A 19,073-nucleotide genomic window follows, 5' to 3' on the forward strand; every position below is an offset into this window, starting at 1 on the left:
CTGACCACCCTATTTCTCCTTCCACAGACAGTTTTCTGTCTATGGCCACATGGCCCTTTGTAGGCTGGTTATTTCCCACTGTCAAGATTCTGGGCAAGCCCGCCTCTGAGTTCCATGGCATACCTGAACCCCAGCGGAGACTAGGGTTTACACAGAGAGAAGGTGTTGTTCTAGTGTGGAGTTTGGGGAGAGGGCACTAGACATACCCCAGAGGCATCATTCCCCTCTTCCTTGTGTGTAAAGGGGAGCCTCTGAGGGGTCTCAGCCCTGAACACAGTCTTTTTGAGGGAGAGGTTTGAAACTCTGTTTTAAAAAGAACAAGACTATTTTTCTTTCTATGGTGTATTAGTTCATTCTCACACTACTATAAAGAAATACCTGAGACTGAGTAATTTGTAAAGAAAAGAGGTTTAATTGGCTCGTGGTTCTGCAGGCTGTACAGGAAGCATGGCTGGGGAGGCCTTGGGAAACTTATAATTATGGTGGAAGGCACAGCTTACATGGCCAGAGCAGGAGGAAGAGAGTGGGGAGAGGTGCTACACACCTCACAGATCTGTGAGAATTCACTTATAGTCAAGAGACCAGCAAAGGAGAATCTGTCCCCTTGATCCAATATCCTCCCACCAGGCCCCTCCTCCAACCTTGGGGATTATTACAATTCGACATGAGATTTGGGCAGGGACACAAATTTAAACCATATTATGTGGTTACAGATAAAAGATGGAACACAATTATGTTGGATGCATTAGTGGAAAGGACAACACTTATTCATCCTGAAGTGTAATCAATGGAGGAGTAAGATGATATAGAGTCATTTCCTAAGCTGGTAAGAAGATGGGCTCAGAAAAGCAGGAGGGACTAGAGGTCTTAAATGAGGGGTATAGAGAGGGGTACAGAGAAGAGAGACAATGGATTAACACAGAAATGTATCGAAGACCTTCCAGTTTTGACTGTGCTAATTCCTTGCTTCCTCTCCAGTTGGGTGTTGGTAAATAGCAGCTGTGCCTAGAGGTACTTGTTTGGGTAGCAAGATATTGCCAACCCTGCAATTATAATTTAAAAAGTTTTTTTTTTTAAGAGAAGACCACATTCCTATGTAGGAAGAGCCTATGTCTCAAACTGTGATAGTTGGCATAGTATGGGAAAACATTTAGTTAGACATCTAACACATACTTATTGATTGTTTCATTATGTTTCAGGCCTGGTGCTGAATGTTCTACTTGTAAAGATAAGCTCACAGGCTTATTCTTTATTATATAAGCTTGACATCCAAAGAGCATGAGGCAAAACAATACTTAGAATTGTTATCATCCAGTTTTAAGTTTCTTAATGGCTGCACCATTTTATCATATTTGTGGCCTTGTGTTCATTTATCTATTCATTTAACAATACAGTCATGTACCACATAATGACATTTCAGGCAATGACAGACCACATATATGATCATGGTCTCATAAGACTATATTTGTGCTGTACCTTTTTATGTTTAGATACACAAATACTTACCATTGTGTTACAATTGCCTATGGTATTCAGTAGAGTAACATGCTGCACAGCTTTGTAGTCTAGGAGCCATGAGATGTACCATATAGCCTAGGTGTGTAGTGGGCTATGCCATTTAGGTCTGTGTAAGTGCAATCTATGATGTTTACACAATGACATGACAAATTGCCTAATGATACATTTCTCAGAATGTATCTCTGTTGCTAAGCAACATATGGCTGCATTTATTCAGAGATAGATTGTTGTGTGTAATATACAGTGACACTGGGTATAAAACAATTAATAAAGACAAGGAGCTTGACTTGTGGAATTTACATGAGAGAGAGAGAGAGAAAACAAAGATGTCAACATCCAAATAAATATACACACACAGCTTGTGCTATGAAGTAAACACGAGGGATGATGAGATAAAGAATAGGAATGCAGGGAGTGGTTTTTCTTAATAAGAAGTCAGAACCTCTCTGATCTAAGTAGTAGACACAGGATATGTTTATTTGTGAGAATTACATATGATTGTGTATCTTCTGTGTGTATATATCAGTAAAAAGGTTTATTTACTTTTACAAAAAGTTTGCATTACAATTGTATGCACACACTTTAGAGAGTCAACACATCCTGAGGATCTGTTGGGAGAAACAGCCTTCAGCCTCCCTCTTTTCCCTCTTCTGGAGAAAACTGCCTTTTACTCTTAGATGGATCTGTTTGTAACTTCTGTGTTGATGATTTGGGGTATGATAGCTTTCTCTCCTCCTCTTGCTCTGGTGCACAGGTGTACCCTTTCCATCCTCCTCTTACAGATTTATCTTCAGTTTGATTACAGCAATATTCAAGACTTGCATCATTTTGACCACAGTTGAGCTGGGATTATTTGTAATCACATATGATTACTTTTCTTTTCCTGTAACATTAATGAGGACTAAGCTCTGATTTTTTATTTTGCCCAAACTTCTATCTAAGGGGTCTGGGGAGTCATGTCCTACAAACCATAAATTCTCATCAGATGGGTTTTATTTGACTCTGTATATCATGACTTACTTTCCAATCTGACTCTGGCATAACAAGGAAGAAAATAAAAAATGTTTTACCCCAAAATATATTTCCTTGCCATGCCTTGAAATTGCCCTACAAAATCTCTTGTGGGAAAAATCCACATTCTATAGAGAATCCCCTTTCTTCCCTCCCCTCCCCTCCCCTCCCCTCCCTCCCTCCCTCCCTCCCTTCCTCCCTTTCTCCCTTCTTCCCTTCTTCCCTCCTTCCTTCCTTCCTTCCTAGCTCCAGGAGATAATCAACTAAGAGCTAGGCACCCTTTTAGGTCTTATAAGAAACATTTTACAACCCGCTCTCTCTCTGAAGTCCGCTACCTAAGCAATTCCTCTGCACAATAAAACTTGGTCTTCACAATCCTTTGCCTTAACCAGAACATTCCTTTCCATTAATCCCAGGTCTTCAGATAAACTCAACCAATTGCCAACCAGAAAATGTTTAAATTTACCTGTAGCCTGGAAGCCGCCACTTTGAGTTGTCCTGCCTTTCTGAAACAAATCAATGTATTTCTTAAATGTATTTGATTGATGTCTCATGCCTTCCTAAAATGTATAAAACCAAGCTGTACCCCAACAACCTTGGGCACATGTTCTCAGGCTGAGGGCTGTGTCATGGGCCATGGTCATTCATATTTGGCTCAGAATAAATCTCTTCTCATATTTTACAGAGTTTGACTCTTCGTCAACATTAATAATTATATTGTTTTTGAATCTAATGTTATTTTCCCATGTATGTATCCCTTATTCAACATCAAACACTTCTTCAGCTAAATATTTAAATAGCATCTAAATAATATTACTTAGAAAGTAATAGTAAGCATTAGCCACCTGAAAAAAGGAAGTTAGATTAATAATTTGCCTCCTAACCCCTCCCTTCATACAAACTCTCATCCCCATTGGTTAAGTAGAAATGTAGATTTGTTTTACATGGGTGGTGATCATATGAAAATAAAGTTAAAATGTAGATCAAACTATACTGAATTCTGATAAATATTAATTTGCCCTTCAACAAAGAAATACCAGATACTTACTTACACTTCTGTTTTGGATTTCAAAGTCCAGGGAGCTAGACCTTTAGACAGGCTCTTATTTGCTTCTGTCCTGATGCTTTCGCACAGGCAGGCCAATTAGTTTCTTGTTTCTTGATCTATAAGAATAAACACAATTTCCCAGCTAAACTACAGGCTTGGCCAAGAGGGCAAGGATATGGCCAGAACTTTTACTACTGATCAATGCACAGAAGCCCACGCCAGATGAAGGCATAGAATTACTCTTCCTATCTTTGTGGATGTCCACAAGGCAGAAATGCAAAGGTGGTTTTTCACTCCAAAGTGAGACAATAATATTTTCCCCAAGTGTATAGGAATTTTAATCTGGGACTATGATTTTTAAAATAAAATGTATTATTAAGGTTTTATAAACTATTTGGAAAGAATGAAGGGCTGGTAGTAATACAGAAATACTAAAATGCCTTAGTCACCATTCTAAAAATAAAATTGGAATATAAAAGTATTCAATTTTCAGAAAAACACAGAAATAGTAGAGAAAGTTTTCTTTCATTTTTTTTCGCTTCCTTTCTGAATTCCTTTCCTTGAGCTAAGAGGCCGTGTGGATTATGATACCTTGGATTATTATACCTGTGGATTATTATACCTCTTCTAGAGGATGGTCCATGCCTGGCAGAAGTATGAAATCTCAAGGTCCAACTCTTAGATTCTTTCAAAAAATAATAGTTCTGCACTGAAATCTGCCAGGTACTGTTTTAGACACTTTTGGGGCACAAAGGGGAATGAATAAAACAGATAAGTGTCTTTGCTCCTGTGGAGCTTATGTGAGTAGCCGAGAGTACAGAAAATAATAATCATTGTCATTATAACAATTTAAATATGTAACATATTAGATACTGGTAAGTGCCAAGAAGAAGAAAAATAAAACCAGAATGGAGGATATGGGAGAACAGGGGGCTGCAAGTGTAAATAGGGCTGTCAAGGAAGGTCTCGCTGAGAAGATGCTGTCTAAATAAAGACCCAAAGGAGATAGGAAACAAGCCACACAGAGGTCTTTGGAAACAGGAGTGTGTCCAATGAACTGAAGGACCAGCAATGAGGTGGGTGAGGCTGGAGGGAGAGGGCAGGAAGTAAGAAACAACACGAATGGAGTGATAGAGGCCAGGTTGAGTAGAGCCTTGGAGGCCATTCTAAGGCTTTTGCTTTCTTTCATAGTGAGATGAGAAGGCCTGAGTAGAGTGTTTTAGCATACAGGGCTAAGGTTTGGATGAGGACCAGCAAGGGCAAAAGCAGAAAGGCCTGTTAGAAAGCTCCTGCTGCCATTCAGATGGAGAATGAGGTGGCCCAGGCAGGGGAAGTATAGTGGAGACAGTGAGGAGTGGTCAGGCTCTGGATCTCTCTTCAGTAAAGAGCTGGGAAGACTTGCTAATAGATTGAATCTGAGGAATGAACAAAAAAGAGGTGTCAAGGATGGCTGCAGCGTTTGGAACCTAACATGCTGGAAGAGTGGCACTGCCTTTTCTTGAGGAAAGAAGACTGTGGGAAAAGAGTTAGAGTAGGAGCAGGAACTTAGTTTGGACTTGTAAAAGTGGAAATGACCATTATACACCCAAGCAGAGACATCACATAAGCTGTTGGGTATGTGATTCTAGAGTTTACGAGAGACACCTGGGCTAGAGATGGAAATGAGGGAGGCATCAGCTCATACATGATTCTGACAATCCTGAGGCTGGGTGGATCACTGAGAGTGAGCGTGGACACAGAAGAGAAGAATTCCAAGAATTCCCCAGGGGCTGGGGTTGGGGAGAGGAGGAGGCACCAGCATTGAACAGTGAGAGGAACAGACAGTGAGGAAGGAGGAAAACCAGGAGAGGGAGTGTCCTGGAAACCAGATGAGGACCATGCTTGAAGGAGGAGAGCATGATCAACTCTGGCAAATGTGTCTGTGTGCCTATGGGAAAGACCCTGTAGAGAAAGGAAACTTGATACTGTAAGAAGGAGAAGAGAGAACTGCTGCAGCAATTTCCACAAGTACCCCAGAGACTTTAGGAGCCAGAACATAAGCAGAAGGCTTAACCCTACCTAGATGCAGGACAGTTCATCCATAGGAATAGGTGAAAGGAAGAGGAAATGGGCACCCATTTCTACGTAGGATGAGAAGAAGCTTCCTATGCCTTCTATTTCTTAGCAAAATAGGAAGTGAGGTCAACGCTGGGAGTGGGGATGGGTTGGGGGGGTGTCCTGAGTGTTTGAAGATGGAAGACAAGGTGTGAAGAATGGGAAGATGAAAGGACTAGGGAAGCAGAGTATGATTTCTGGGTACCACTAAGGGCTCCTAAAGATTAATGTCATGAATTTAAAGTGAGGCTGATCAGTATGGCTGTGTGGTTTGCTCTAGTTGCATTTAGCTACACAGGTCCATGTACAGAGCAGGCTGAGTTAGATGTATACAGAGTTAATGTTTCTCCCTGAAAATAGACTCCTGATATCTTCACTCACATCAGAGGTCAACGTATACCAGAGTTTGCTATTATAAGAAATGTGACCATAACTATCTCTGATCTCTTTCTTTTCATGTATATTAGCACTGTTAAATGTGAATTTTCTAGTTTTAAATTTCTTCATGTGAATACTCACCACAAAAGCCATGAGTAAGAGCAGCATGCTTACATTCAGATATAGCTGTGGTGAGGGAACTGGGCTCCCTCGCTAGCTAAGTGTTTCACTCTGACCCACCAGCCTTGAGTGCAAGATTCAAAGTCATGTCTCAGAAAATTTTATTTGCTGGTAGAAAGGACAACTGCTGAATTCGTACACATCAGTCTCTCTACTCTCGTTCAAGCTTGCCATTTACCTTCTTTGATCAAGCTGATCCACTTGTGTGCCACTTGGCCTACACAACAAAAGACTGAGGACCCAGCAGCCTTGCTTCATTCATATCTGGCATCACAACCATGGTTCTTCCTTCATGTCACCTATTTTGTGTCCTACGTCTTTCATTCTCAAATCTTGCCCTTCATCTTTATCTCCTGGCTATAGTCTCATGTTGCTCGACTAAGCAGCACCTGACAAGGTGCCATAAACTTGACTTTCCTTTTCAGTAATGGATTACTCTTTCCCTCCCAACTCAGTCCACATTCAGCTTCCCTGGGTGACAGTGTTACCCAGTGCAGTTCAAGCCTTGAGGTTGGTGGCCCACGTGGCTGACCCAAATGTTTGGCCTTTTTGACAAGTCTTCCTGGAGCCTGTGAAAAGAAATCATCATGGTGGATACCTACCATGGCATACATTAAAGAAATATTAGCGTAAATTCTTTTACTTCTTACTTTTGAAAGAAAGGTTCCTGTGAGGTGCAGATTACCATTAGCTTGGTGGCATAAGGCAGAGGAGATGGGGTGGGTGGCTGTTCTGGATCAGTGTTTCTGGAGGGACAATCCTTGAATTCTCTGCAAGATAACTGCTTGGGTTGCTCATCAAAAATAGAAATTCCTGGGTCCTTCCCCAAACTACAGAATCAGAGTCTCTGAAGGTGGGGGCTATGATGTTGCTTATTTGATTAGTACCCAAAAGGTACATATAGTCTAAAGTTTTAGGGCTACCAGTATAGAGCAATTGCTCCCAAACCTGGTGGTTCCTAAACCACCTACTGGAGATGGTGAAAGTGCAGATTCAAAGACTTCATCCCAGATATATTAAATCAGACTCTGGTGTGGCCTGGGATTCTGAATTTAAAAAATATAATAACAATAACAATAATCACAATAATAATTATAACGATTCTGATGATCAGCCAGGTTGGAAATGTAAAGCATCCCTTATGCCAAACTCTTTTCAGCTCATTTGAAAAAGATTCTTTGTGCTGGAAAACTCTCTCACTTCATAAGAGAGCAGCAGCTCTGGATGCTGACTGCCGTTCAGCTCCTGCAAAGTTGCACCTCTGGGATACATGGCTAAACTGAGGGCTTGCCAGCTTTGCTCTTTTAAAGCTAGGTCTCCCAAACCTAGTCGCATCACCTGGGGGAGATTTGCAAGAACATGGATTCTGAAGCTCAACCCACACTTATTGAATCATGGTCTCTAGGAGTGGTGTCCAGAATCCCTATTTTGAGAAGCATTCAGATGATAATTAAGATGAGACAAATTTGGGAGCCATAAGTCTATGACCGTGGAGGGAACTGCCAACCTAACAGCCATTTGGGGGTGCTGCAGCAGCTGAACGGTTGATGAAAACATAAGCATGCTCTCAAACTACTGATTACATCAACTTGATACTTTGCACTGCCTCTTACCTAAAAACTCAGTGAACATATTCTGCAGACTTCTTCTTTTCTTGCCTTATCTCCTAGCCTCCTTCTGTTTGTCTACCAATGCTGCCACTGCCTGCCCTCTGGCATGGCTACTTCCAGTACTCTGTCACCATGGTGTCTGGTTGCTGGCAGAGACCTGCCTGAAACTAGAATTGTTTATTTGCCAGAATTATATACCCAGTCTAAGGCTGTAGGATTCTAGCTTTTATAGTTAGGCATGCATGACTTCTTAGTTGTTTTCAACACACTAAATTTAATAAATATAACAAAAGTCTTGCAAATAGGATCTAGTAAAAGGCTGAGTTAAAAGAATGTTTTTACAGAATTGCAGTGTTATTGCTCTTGAGTGTAGGCGATGAACTGGGGTTAGAGACTGGGGCTAGGCTCTTTGTAAGGACGGATGCATGTAGACAACTGTTTGTCCTCAGTACACACAATGTTTGAACAGGAAGGTTAGAAAAGAGTAGCTTGAAAGGAGTTTATTGGTTTTAGCCCCTCATATAAATCATTTTCTTTGAATTACTTCTAAATAATGTACTTTCATAGATGATAGCATGAAATTTTCAGTCCAGTGTGTCTAGAATTATCTCAGATTTTGAATTTTAAAAGTCTAAATGAAGTTTACTAAATGGATAAAATTGCCATTTTTTTCTTTGAATGTGTATTTTATTTTTCTTAAGAAAGTAAACAGGGTTTTTCAGAATAGTTGCGTTTTAATTACATCAGTAGCTTAATGTTAATTGAAGAAATATTAGAAATTACAAGAAATGGAAAAACGAGAATTAAAGTTGCCTTTTTTTTTTGTTTTGGGAAATGACTGTTGACATTTTGGGGAATAGCCCTCTTGCTTTTGAATTCAACACCCCCACCTCGCTCAACTATACGTATTGTTTTGTAACTTGTAAACACAATGATTTGGGGGATTGGAAGTTTTTTGCATCTAGCTCTACTGTGTCTATTTTCTCTTCCACCTCAGGGCCTTTGCACATGTGCTTTCCTTTGCCTGAAATGCTTTACCTACCTCCTCCAAGTGGCTGTTTTCTTAACATTTGTGCTTCAGGTTAGAGGTCACATCCTCAAGGAGGCCTTTCCTGACCCCTCAATCTAAAGCTTCACCCCATTTTCAAATCATTCCTGATCTTCTTTTTTACCTCCGATGTGACTTTCTTAATAGTTTGGTTTATTTGTTTCCTGTCTGTCTTCTCCACCACAGTGCAGGTGCCATCAGAACCAGGGCCGTTTCTGTCCTATTCTGCCCTATTCTGTCCTTTCTGTACACTCATTTCCTAGAACAGTGCTAGCCCAGAGTAGGGGTTGGATAGACATTTGTAGAATAGATAAGGAAATGACTGACAGACTGACTACTGAGAGGATGAATGAGACCGTTGGCCTGGGAGGGTGGAAGTCAGAGCCACAGCTGAGAAGGTGAGCTGAGAGTCCATGGCTGGCCAAACAGACAAAGCAGGATGTTTAAAAATGGGTTGCCGGCCGGGCGTGGTGGCTCACGCCTGTAATCCCAGCATTTTGGGAGGCCGAGGCGGCGGATCACGAGGTCAGGAGATCGAGAGCATCCTGGCAAACACGGTGAAACCCTGTCTCTACTAAAAATACAAAAAATTAGCTGGCCATGGTGGTGGGCGCCTGTAGTCCCAGCTCCTCGGGAGGCTGAGGCAGGAGAATGGCGTGAACCCGGGAGGCGGAACTTGCAGTGAGCCGAGATCACGCCACTGCACTCTGGCCTGGGTGAAAGAGCGAGACTTGGTCTCAAAAAAAAAAAAAAAAAAAAAGGGTTCCCTTTTAACAAGCCCAGAGAGATCTTAAAGGCACTGTTTGGACCCTAACAAATGGCAAATAGCAAAACCTGAAAAATGTTTCTTTAATCTCAGATCCAAAATGAGAGTTTGATAGAATTCAAATGATTCTACAATTAGCTCAGAGCTTTTAGATTCATAGCCTCTTTGTTTTTAGTTAGTTTGCCTTTTTCAGTTTAATTGTTTAGACTGAAAGTTTGTAATTTCTTACCAGTTTTGAGTAGTTGACTCTAGAATAACATGAGTAATTTTTCTAAATAGCATTGCTTGTTGTGTCATTGATTCACCTCACTGGCACATCCTTGTCTCTGATCTAAAATTGTGAAAAATGAACAATATGTTGAGATATGAAATTATGCATGAATCTTCAAGCTGTAAACCAGCTAGCTGACAGTGAGGTTATTACTGTGAGAAATGTCTACAACAATACTTCGCTTTCATGTCACATAAGTCCTTGACTTGAGGCTGCTAGGAAATTAATTAATTAAAGAAACTTAAGTTTCCTTAAGTTTCGACACCTTTGGGGAAAAAAGAGCAGATCGTTACCTTTACTCAGAGATAAGACAATTGAGAAACAAGTATTTTAATCAGAAGTGTTGGTGTGAAAAACCATAATAAATTTGAAGAATTTTATTTAATATTCAGATCTCTCTTGAAGGTACACACTATTTTACATGTGGAATACATAATAAATTTGTCATTCTGACAAACTTTTGATAGAATTCAAATATGGAATACATGATAAGTTTGTCATAATAAAATTTGTCTTTCTGCTTCTTTCTTGGGTATTTTGTGGTCATTGGGCAGCACACTGTTTCTTTTTATTGCCTTTCCTTTCATGTTAAATGTAAAGATAGAAAAATGAACTCAAAGGTAGTAGTTTGTATTTCTCTATGCTTGTTAAGGAAATCTATTAGTAGTTCACAGGAGCTTCTTAGCAGATAGGCAGTGAGTCAGTCCTTAGCAAATTGTAGAAGAGGTCAACCTTTCCCCATTCCTCTTCCCACTAAAGCTGCTTTTCTCTTCCCTTCACCTAGGTCTCCTTCTCCAGCCACTACTCTGTGGTGGTTGCAACCTCATCCATGTTGAAAAGCCCATTCTGACCTGTGGCTTTCAGCGCTGGGGCCTCTGGGAATGTCCAACCAGTAGCACCTGCAGTCCTTGGAGAGCCGACACTCACCACACTGTCTACAGCACCCTTTTGCACTTGCTCTTAATTATATCCTACCATTTATTCCATTCGACGTATTTATCATAATTTGTATCTTGATTTCTAAAATTTGTTCATGTAATATCAGTCCTTGGGAAAGGATGTAAGTTTCATAAAAGAAAACTCCATCTTCTTCATCTTTCATGTCTCCTGTACCCCAAATCCATGAAGACTTGAGTCTCTTCCCCTCACGGAGAGTATTTGCTTAGAAAAGGGATTAAAAACACCTGTGATGGGTTGAGGTGGAAAGAGCTTCACAAGCTAGAGATACTTTTAAACTTGAAAGCTACAGGAAATACATCATGTTAGGGAGATTAAAAAAAAGAAGAATGAGAAACACATACACACTAATGAGGTCATTTACAACTTAAGTGACTAATGGAAGACGTATTTCATTGTCCAAAAATATTTCCTACAATAGACACGTTTTATGACTTCATGGTTCTCGAAAATAAATTTTCCTAGCTTTGGATTTAACATAAGCCTTGGGGTTAAGGAGTTACAGTCCAGCTGAGGAAAGACAGCTTAAAACATAATAACACATTTTGACATTTCTAAGCGATATGGCCTCCTTTGTCTTTCTCCTTTTTAAATTTTCTTGCCCTCTTCCTCTCTGATTTTTCCTTCCTTCATTCCTTTCTTTCTATTTTTTCCTTCTTTTCTTCCCTCAATTAAATTAAATCAAAATAGTACATACTAGTAGTAATGCTATTAAAATAGTAATACTATTAAAATGACGTAAAGAGTTTATATATGAAAATACACAATTCCTGGTCCCAACATGTTCGTTCTCCTGACTCCCTCTCCACAGAGACAACCACTTTTGACGCTTTAACCTGTTCCTTCTAGCATTTTATGCTTTCAAATAATATGTGAATACTGCTCTCCTTTGATTCATCAATTTAGACATAATGTATTGAGTTTCTAATATAGCAGATGAGGATTTAACTCCCTTATATTACCATCCTATCCGCTTCTCCTCACTTATTCTCCTGGTTTAATTATGCTCCAAATTTTGGTTAAGTATATACTCAACGTTAACATTACTATGCCTATCCAAGTTTTATTCACAGCTGAAAACTGTAATATCTGGGTTTCCAAGGATCAGGCCCTGAGACAAGGATTCAAGCACAAGCAGTTCATTTGGGAGGCACAGGAAACACCAGTAGGGGAGGAAGGAAGTGATAAGCGGAAGAAAAGGCAGTAATCGAGGGTGCGTTATCAAGAAGTAACCACTATGGGTAATTGGAGCTTAATTCTGTGAGGGAAACTCTGGGAACTGGTGTAAAACTCATAATTCAGTGCCATCCCACCTGAAAGGTGAGGGAGCTGGGGTATTTGTATACCAGTTTCTATCAGCCACTTACTGAAGGCTGCTCCCAAGGGTTGTTAGTTCCCCAATACTTCCAGCCTGCCATGTGCAGGCAGCGTGGCCTTCTGAAGCTTTTGTGAAAGTCTTCTGCAAAGAGATGCCAATGCTGACAGTTGAAAGTTAGCCAAGAAGACAAACTTATAATGCATCATGATTATGTTTTCCTTCTTTTTGTTTCTTTCCTGAAATTAATAACTGCCTTTTAAACTTTCCTTAGTGTTCTTGATACTTATTGCAAATCTTCCCATACCTCCTAATAGTTTCTCAACACAATGTTTTATAAAGTTAATCATATCAGGTAATTTGCCAGCTCTAATTTCTTTTTCTTAGAGCCATCCTTGGAGGCCTCCATTATGCTCTATGGACTGTATGCACTCAAGGTCTTCTACACAGATGACACCCTAGGACAGCTGTGCTGTCATCTCAGGAATATTCTTTGCCTTCTGAGTTGGATTCCTTTGTTTCCTGGTCTGAGTGTTTCTCTTTCTTGGTTGACTTCTGGTTGGACCACATCATTCTGAGTATAATCAGACTCAGTTCAGTGGTAGAGGGTCTGTCTCTTGGGTAATGCTGCTCCCCCTGGGGCTGCGTGCTTCTGTGGTGCTGCTCTTCTAGCATTTCCCTTCCCTAGCACCTGGGAGAGTTCCTTCAGGACTCTATTGTTTTGAAGCTCCTCTGTTTTTTTAAATTTATTTTTTATTATTATTTTTATTCGTGTTTTCCTTTTTCTTGGTTTGTTTCTTCATTTTAATGGAATAAACTTTCCAGTGTCTAAGAAAAGGTGACTGGGAAATAAATTTTTAAAAACCTTGTGTGTCTGAAAATGTCTTTATTTTCCCCTTGAACTGATTGGCTGGATCAAGTTATATGTTGGAAATAATTTACCACTTCAGAATTTTGAAAATCTTTCTTTTCTATCTTCCAGTGTTGCCATTAAGAAATATGAAGCAATTCGGACATCAACACCCTCCTATTTGGCCTGTTGTTGTTGTTTTTAAATCTCTGGAAGCTTATCGAATCTCTTTTTGGCTCTACTATTCTGAAACGTTATCGTGAAATCACTTAGTGTGGGCTGATTTTTGTCCATTGTGCAGTGTGCTCTGTGGGGCAGGCCCTTTCAATCTGTAAACTCTCATGTCCTCATTCCTGGGAAATGTTCCTAAATTATTTTGTTTTATTATTATTATTTGCTACATTTTCTCCATTCTCTTGCTGGTGCTTCTGTTATTCTTTATTTTAATTTTTTAATTTTTTATTTCCCTAAGTTTTGGGGGAACAGGTGATATTTGGTTACATGAGTAAGTTCTTTAGTGGTGATTTGTGAGACTTTGGGGTACCTGTCTCTCCAGCAGTACACACTGAACCCAATTCGTAGTCTTTTATCCCCCACCCGCTTCCCACATGCTTCTGTTATTCTGATAATGAACTTTCTGCCCTGCTTCTCTAGTTGTCGTATATCCTCTCTCTTGCTTTGTATCTCTCTCTTTTATACACTTTTTTTTTCTGAAAAATTTCTTCCACTTTATTCTTTAATTCTTCTATTGAGCTTTTCATTTTGGATAGCATGCTTAAATTTCTAAAACCTTCTTTTGGTTTTCTGAATGTTTATTCTTCTAAAGCATCTTGTCAGTAATATTTCAAAGATGCAATATTTTTCTCTTAACTCTAAATAAACCAGTGATTCCAGTTGTTATCATTGTGTCATATTTTCTTCTCTGTGAACAGTCTCTATTTTTTCAAGTTTTTTTTTTTTTTCTGTTTTGATACTGGCTTTTGTGTTTTGACATTTTTCATGTTCAAGACTTTCCCCAGATGTCTGATCATCCTTGATGGTGTGCTTATTTATTATTTATTTTTTATTTTATTTTATTTTATTTTTGAGATGGAGTCTTGCTCTGTCACCCAAGCTGGAGTGCAATGGCACAATCTCAGCTCACTGCAACCTCTGCCTCCTGGGTTCAAGTGATTCTCCTCCCTCAGCCTCCTGAGTAGCTGAGATTACAGGCATGTGCCACCACACCTGGCCAATTTTTGTATTTTTAGGAGAGACAGGGTTTCACCATGTTGGTCAGGCTGGTCTTGAACTCCTGACATTGTGATCCACCCGCCTCGGCCTCCCAAAGTGCTGGGATTACAGGCGTGAGCCACCGCACCTGGCCGATGGTGTGCTTATTTTTTTAAATTTTTTATTTTTCAGACAAAATCTCCCTCTGTCGCCCAGGCTGGAGTGCAGTGGCACAATCTCGGCTCACTGCAACCCCCACCTCCTGGGTTCAAGCAATTCTCCTGCCTCAGCCTCCTGAATAGCTGGGATTACAGGCCTGCGCCACCATGCCCGGCTAATTTCTTTTTGTATTTTAGTAGAGACAGGGTTTCTCCATGTTGGTCAGGCTTATCTTGAACTCCTGACCTCAGGTGATCCGCTTGCCTTGGCCTCCCAAAGTGCTGGGATTATAGGCATGAGCCACCACGCCTGGCTGGTGTGCTTATTTTCAAGGGTGAGAAACTAAAACTTTGATGGAAGCCCTAAACATAGGAGTAGAGCTTGTTGACATTGAACTTTGTTGACAGGTGAGCTATCTGAGTCTTTTGTAGGGAAACTCCTAAAGCTGGGTTGTGTTTTATCACCTTAGCACTACTACTTCTATTTAAGATTAGGAATTGTCCTTTCCAGAACTCCATTTTCTCTGTGATTAGATTTGGCTAAGAGAAAAACTTGTACAGAATTTGGAAAGCAGAGGTAAAGCAGGAGCCATTACTTTCAGAAGGTCACAGTAATCAGGGAATGTGCCATCTAGATGCAGAGATGCCTAGTAGGCTGTAGCCTCCCCTCCCAACTACTGACCCCACAGGCCAAGAGTGACTCCAAGCCACCAAATGCTTGACTGCAATTTCTACAGAGGCTGTAGCTTCCATGGACCTGCCATAACCTCCTCACCCACTATTCCACTTGGGTGGCCAAACATCCAGTCTTTCTGAACATTTCCCACATACTCCATCCACACCCATGCTTTAAGTTGTTGTAGGTGTTTCCTAGAGCTGCTGTAACAAATGACAACAAATTTAGTGGCTTAAAACAACACAAATTTATTCTCTTACAGTTCTGGAGCTCAGTAGTCTAAAACCGAAGTGTCTCCTGGGAGCTTCAGGAGAGAAATCCACTTCCTTACTTTTTCCAGATTCTAAGGTCACGTCCATTTCTTTGGTCTGGCTCCTTCTTTTATCTTCAAAGTGCATCACTCCAACCTCCAGTTCTGTCTTCACCTCTCCTTTTCTCACTTTCTTCCTCTTGTCTCTGTTTTATAAAGGCTGTTGTGATAACATTGGGTCCACCTAGCTAATCTGGGATTATCTCCCCATCTCAAGATCCTTAACATAATTACACCACCAAAGTCCCTTTTTGCCATGTAAAGCAACATATTCATAAGTTCTGGGGAGCAGGATGTGGATTTCTTTGGGGGTCACTGTTCTGACTGCCACAGTAGGTAATGACTTCCTTGGATCCTCTGAGTCTTCTCTTCCAGATTCCTACTTCCTCAGCTCTTCCCACACTTGTGCAAGCTCTAATTCCTAGAGTAAGCCGCTTACTCCCCTAATACACTTTTAGTGGCTCTGATTTTCTGACTTAACCCTGATAGATACACCCCCAATGTCAATATCTCTATGTATTTCCTCTTTCAGATTTTACCAGAGTTATTCTAGTTTCCAGCCTAGAGGATAAAGACTTGGCTGCCAAGGGTCTGAGGGCCAAGATAATGAAAATAGTAGAGGGGTCTTTGTTGGTCATATCAATTCATTGACTTTATTTTGCTATTTTCAGTTTGGTTCTACCTCATTTGCCTGCTGTAGGAGTCCCCAGGACAGATATCCTTTGCATTATCGCCTCTAGAGAGCATCGCTCCAACCTCTGGCCACGTACAGAAGAAGGAGCAGAATCTCAAGGTCAGGCAAAGGGGAGAAGCTCTAGGGATTTCACTGTTTCTAAAAGGGTCATTATCAGATTCTGCTTTTATTTACCATCACCTCTTCTTCACTCCATTTCCAGAAGCCTGTTGCTATCAGTTTCCAATGTTTCAGAGATTCTATGGTTAAATAAGGTTGCTTCTCAACTGTCCTTCCTGCCATCTTAGAATTTACCTTCTAGAGTTAGCTAGGAGAGGTATCTCCTAGCGATCTGCTTGATTGCTTCTAAAATTTTTATCGACGTTATCCATTCTTTTTCTTCCTATTTTTACAGGTTTCTATTTTTAAATTAAACATATTATTTTGAGATAATTCTAGATTCACATGCAGTTAAAAGAACGATAATCATTCAGGGAAACCACATACCCTTCCCCTAATCATAACATCTTGCATAACATGGTACAACATTAGAACCAGGAAATTGACATTGATATAATCCACTGGTTTTATTCACATTTCACCAGTTTTACATGCACTCATTTGTGTGTGTGCACGCGTATGTGTATGTGTGCTCATGTGTGTATTTACTTCTATGCAATTTTGTAATGTGAATTATATATGTATATATTTAAGGAAAAATTCCCTTTACTATATAATATTTGAAACATGGAAAATTAGATGCTATATCCCATGTGCCATCTTCTTCTGAAAGCTGAATGACTGGAAACGTAACGAAAAGTATCTTGAACTTGCAAACAAGAGCAGAGCATGGGTAAATTTTATCTTCTTTACAACCTTGCCCATGGACTGTAGGGTCAGCTAACAAGGCTCTTTGTTTAGCTCACTGTGTTCTAAACATTCTGTATCCTTCCTCCCCTTTAAAAAATCAGCCCAGAGAAAGGCATTTAGCAACAGAAAAGAGAATAAACAGACTTTTTAGGATCATGGTGTTGAGTTGTTTCTGTGCCAAGCTTCTTATCCATACAGAATTATAACTGATAGGTTATTTTAATCAATATTGGTAAAAAAAAAAAGACTAACAGCATTTAAAAAGAATCACATTCTCTTCTTGGAGAGAAAAATTATATTTTCTGATTTCTGCAGAGATGAAGAATTAATGAATCAACAGCATGCGTAAATAGAGAGGCGATGGAGATCTGTTTTGTAATATGTAGCGTTCCTGAATCCCCTATAATCATAGCTGGTAGTTGGGCACTCAGATAATTAAATTGCCCCAATAGGTCATTTGCATCAAATTTAATGCAGTCATGGAAAATTCGCAATATATGTTTGTACTCAGAATCAGGTAGTAGGAGTGAGAGCTGTATGAGACTATCAAAACCAAGCAACATCTAGTCTAAAAGTTAACATAGGCCAGGCGCGGTGGCTCACGCCTGTAATCCCAGCACTTTGGGAGGCCGAGGAGGGCAGATCATGAGGTCAGGAGTTTGAGACCAGCCTGCCAACATGGTGAAACCTCGTGTCTACTAGAAATACAAAAATTAGCCGGGTGTGGTGGCGCATGCCTGTAATCCCAGCTACCTGGGAGGCTGAAGCAGGAAAATAGCTTGAACCCGAGAGGCAGAGGTTGCAGTGAGCCAAGATCATGCTACTGCACTCCAGCCTGGGCAACAGAGCAAGACTCTATCTCAAAAAAAAAAAAAGTTAATAAAAAAAAGCAGCAAAAAAAAAAAAAAAACCCAACATTTTATGTTAGTCATTTATATATATTGTGCCATATTACAAAATGTATTTAGGTGAGAGAAAGGGATACTATTTTTTCCTATTCTCTTTTTAGTGGGCTCTTCTGGGAGGTTGTGTTTGTGAGATAACTGTGGTTTCATCTGCTGTATTTGATCAGGAACAGGCAAGGTAGGTGACAAAGGTAGTGAGTGTTTATAAACAAGGGATAACAGGAACTTTTTTTGTGTAAGTGCTCTGTAACCTTTTGCTTCAGTCTATCTGTGGTGCTGATTTAGAGCATGAGAACTATATCATTATAAATTCAGATTGGAAGGAGCTCTTTCAGTTATCTATCAATGCATAAGAAACCATTCCAAAATATGTTGGCTTAAAACAACCATTTATTCTTGCTCATGAATGTATGATTGACTGGGAAAAAAAAACTAGTGATGTTGGCCAGGTCAGACTGATCTTGGCTGCACTCAGCCATGCATCTGCAGTCAGTTGGCAGACTGTCTGCCGACTGGCTGGTATAGAAAGGCTGTCTTCCTCGTGGTTGCTTAGTCTCCAGAAAGCTAGCCTGAGCTCATTCATATGGTGGTTGCAGGGGTCTGAGATAGCAATGGAACTATGCAAAGCCTTATGAAGACTAGGATAGCAATTGGTACACAGTCACTTCTGCAGCATTCTACTGGACAAAATAAATCACAATGCTAATTCGTGTTCAAAGCTGATCACAATGGCTAAAAGAAAAATGCTAACAAAATTACCCAACCAATATGTTCACTTGGTTTTTTTTTGTACCTGGTAAGAGATTTTTCTCTTATATTCTTGTGCAACTCTTACTCATCCTTCAAGTCTCAGTTCATGCACCGCCTCCTCTGGGAATCTGGCCTGTCCTTTCTTCCAGCAGACTGAACCACAGTATTTTTTTGCGGGGGAGAGGAAGATAGTGTCTTACTTTGTCTCCCAGGCTGGAGTGCAGTGGCATGATCATGGCTCATTGCAGCCTTGACCTCCTGGGTTCAGGTGATCCTCCCACCTCAGCCTCCCAGATAGCTAGGACTACAGGCATGAACCACCATGCCCCACTAATTTTTTGTATTTTTTTAGTAGAGACAGGGTTCGCCATGTTGCCCAGGCTGGCCTTGAACTCCTGGGATCAAGTGATCTGCCCACCTCCGCCTCCCAAAGTGCTGAGATTACAGGCAGGAGCCATGGTGTCCAGTCTAGG

General features: G+C 40.4%; 1 protein-coding gene across 5 annotated transcripts in view; it reads left to right on the plus strand.

Moving 5' to 3' along the window:
• Positions 1 to 19,073, plus strand: part of KCNAB1 (potassium voltage-gated channel subfamily A regulatory beta subunit 1) — a 420,928-nt gene that overhangs the window by 110,585 nt on the left and 291,270 nt on the right. The window lies entirely within an intron of this gene.

Source organism: Homo sapiens, chromosome 3 (genome assembly GCF_000001405.40).
Source record: "Homo sapiens chromosome 3, GRCh38.p14 Primary Assembly".
NCBI lineage: Eukaryota > Metazoa > Chordata > Mammalia > Primates > Hominidae > Homo > Homo sapiens.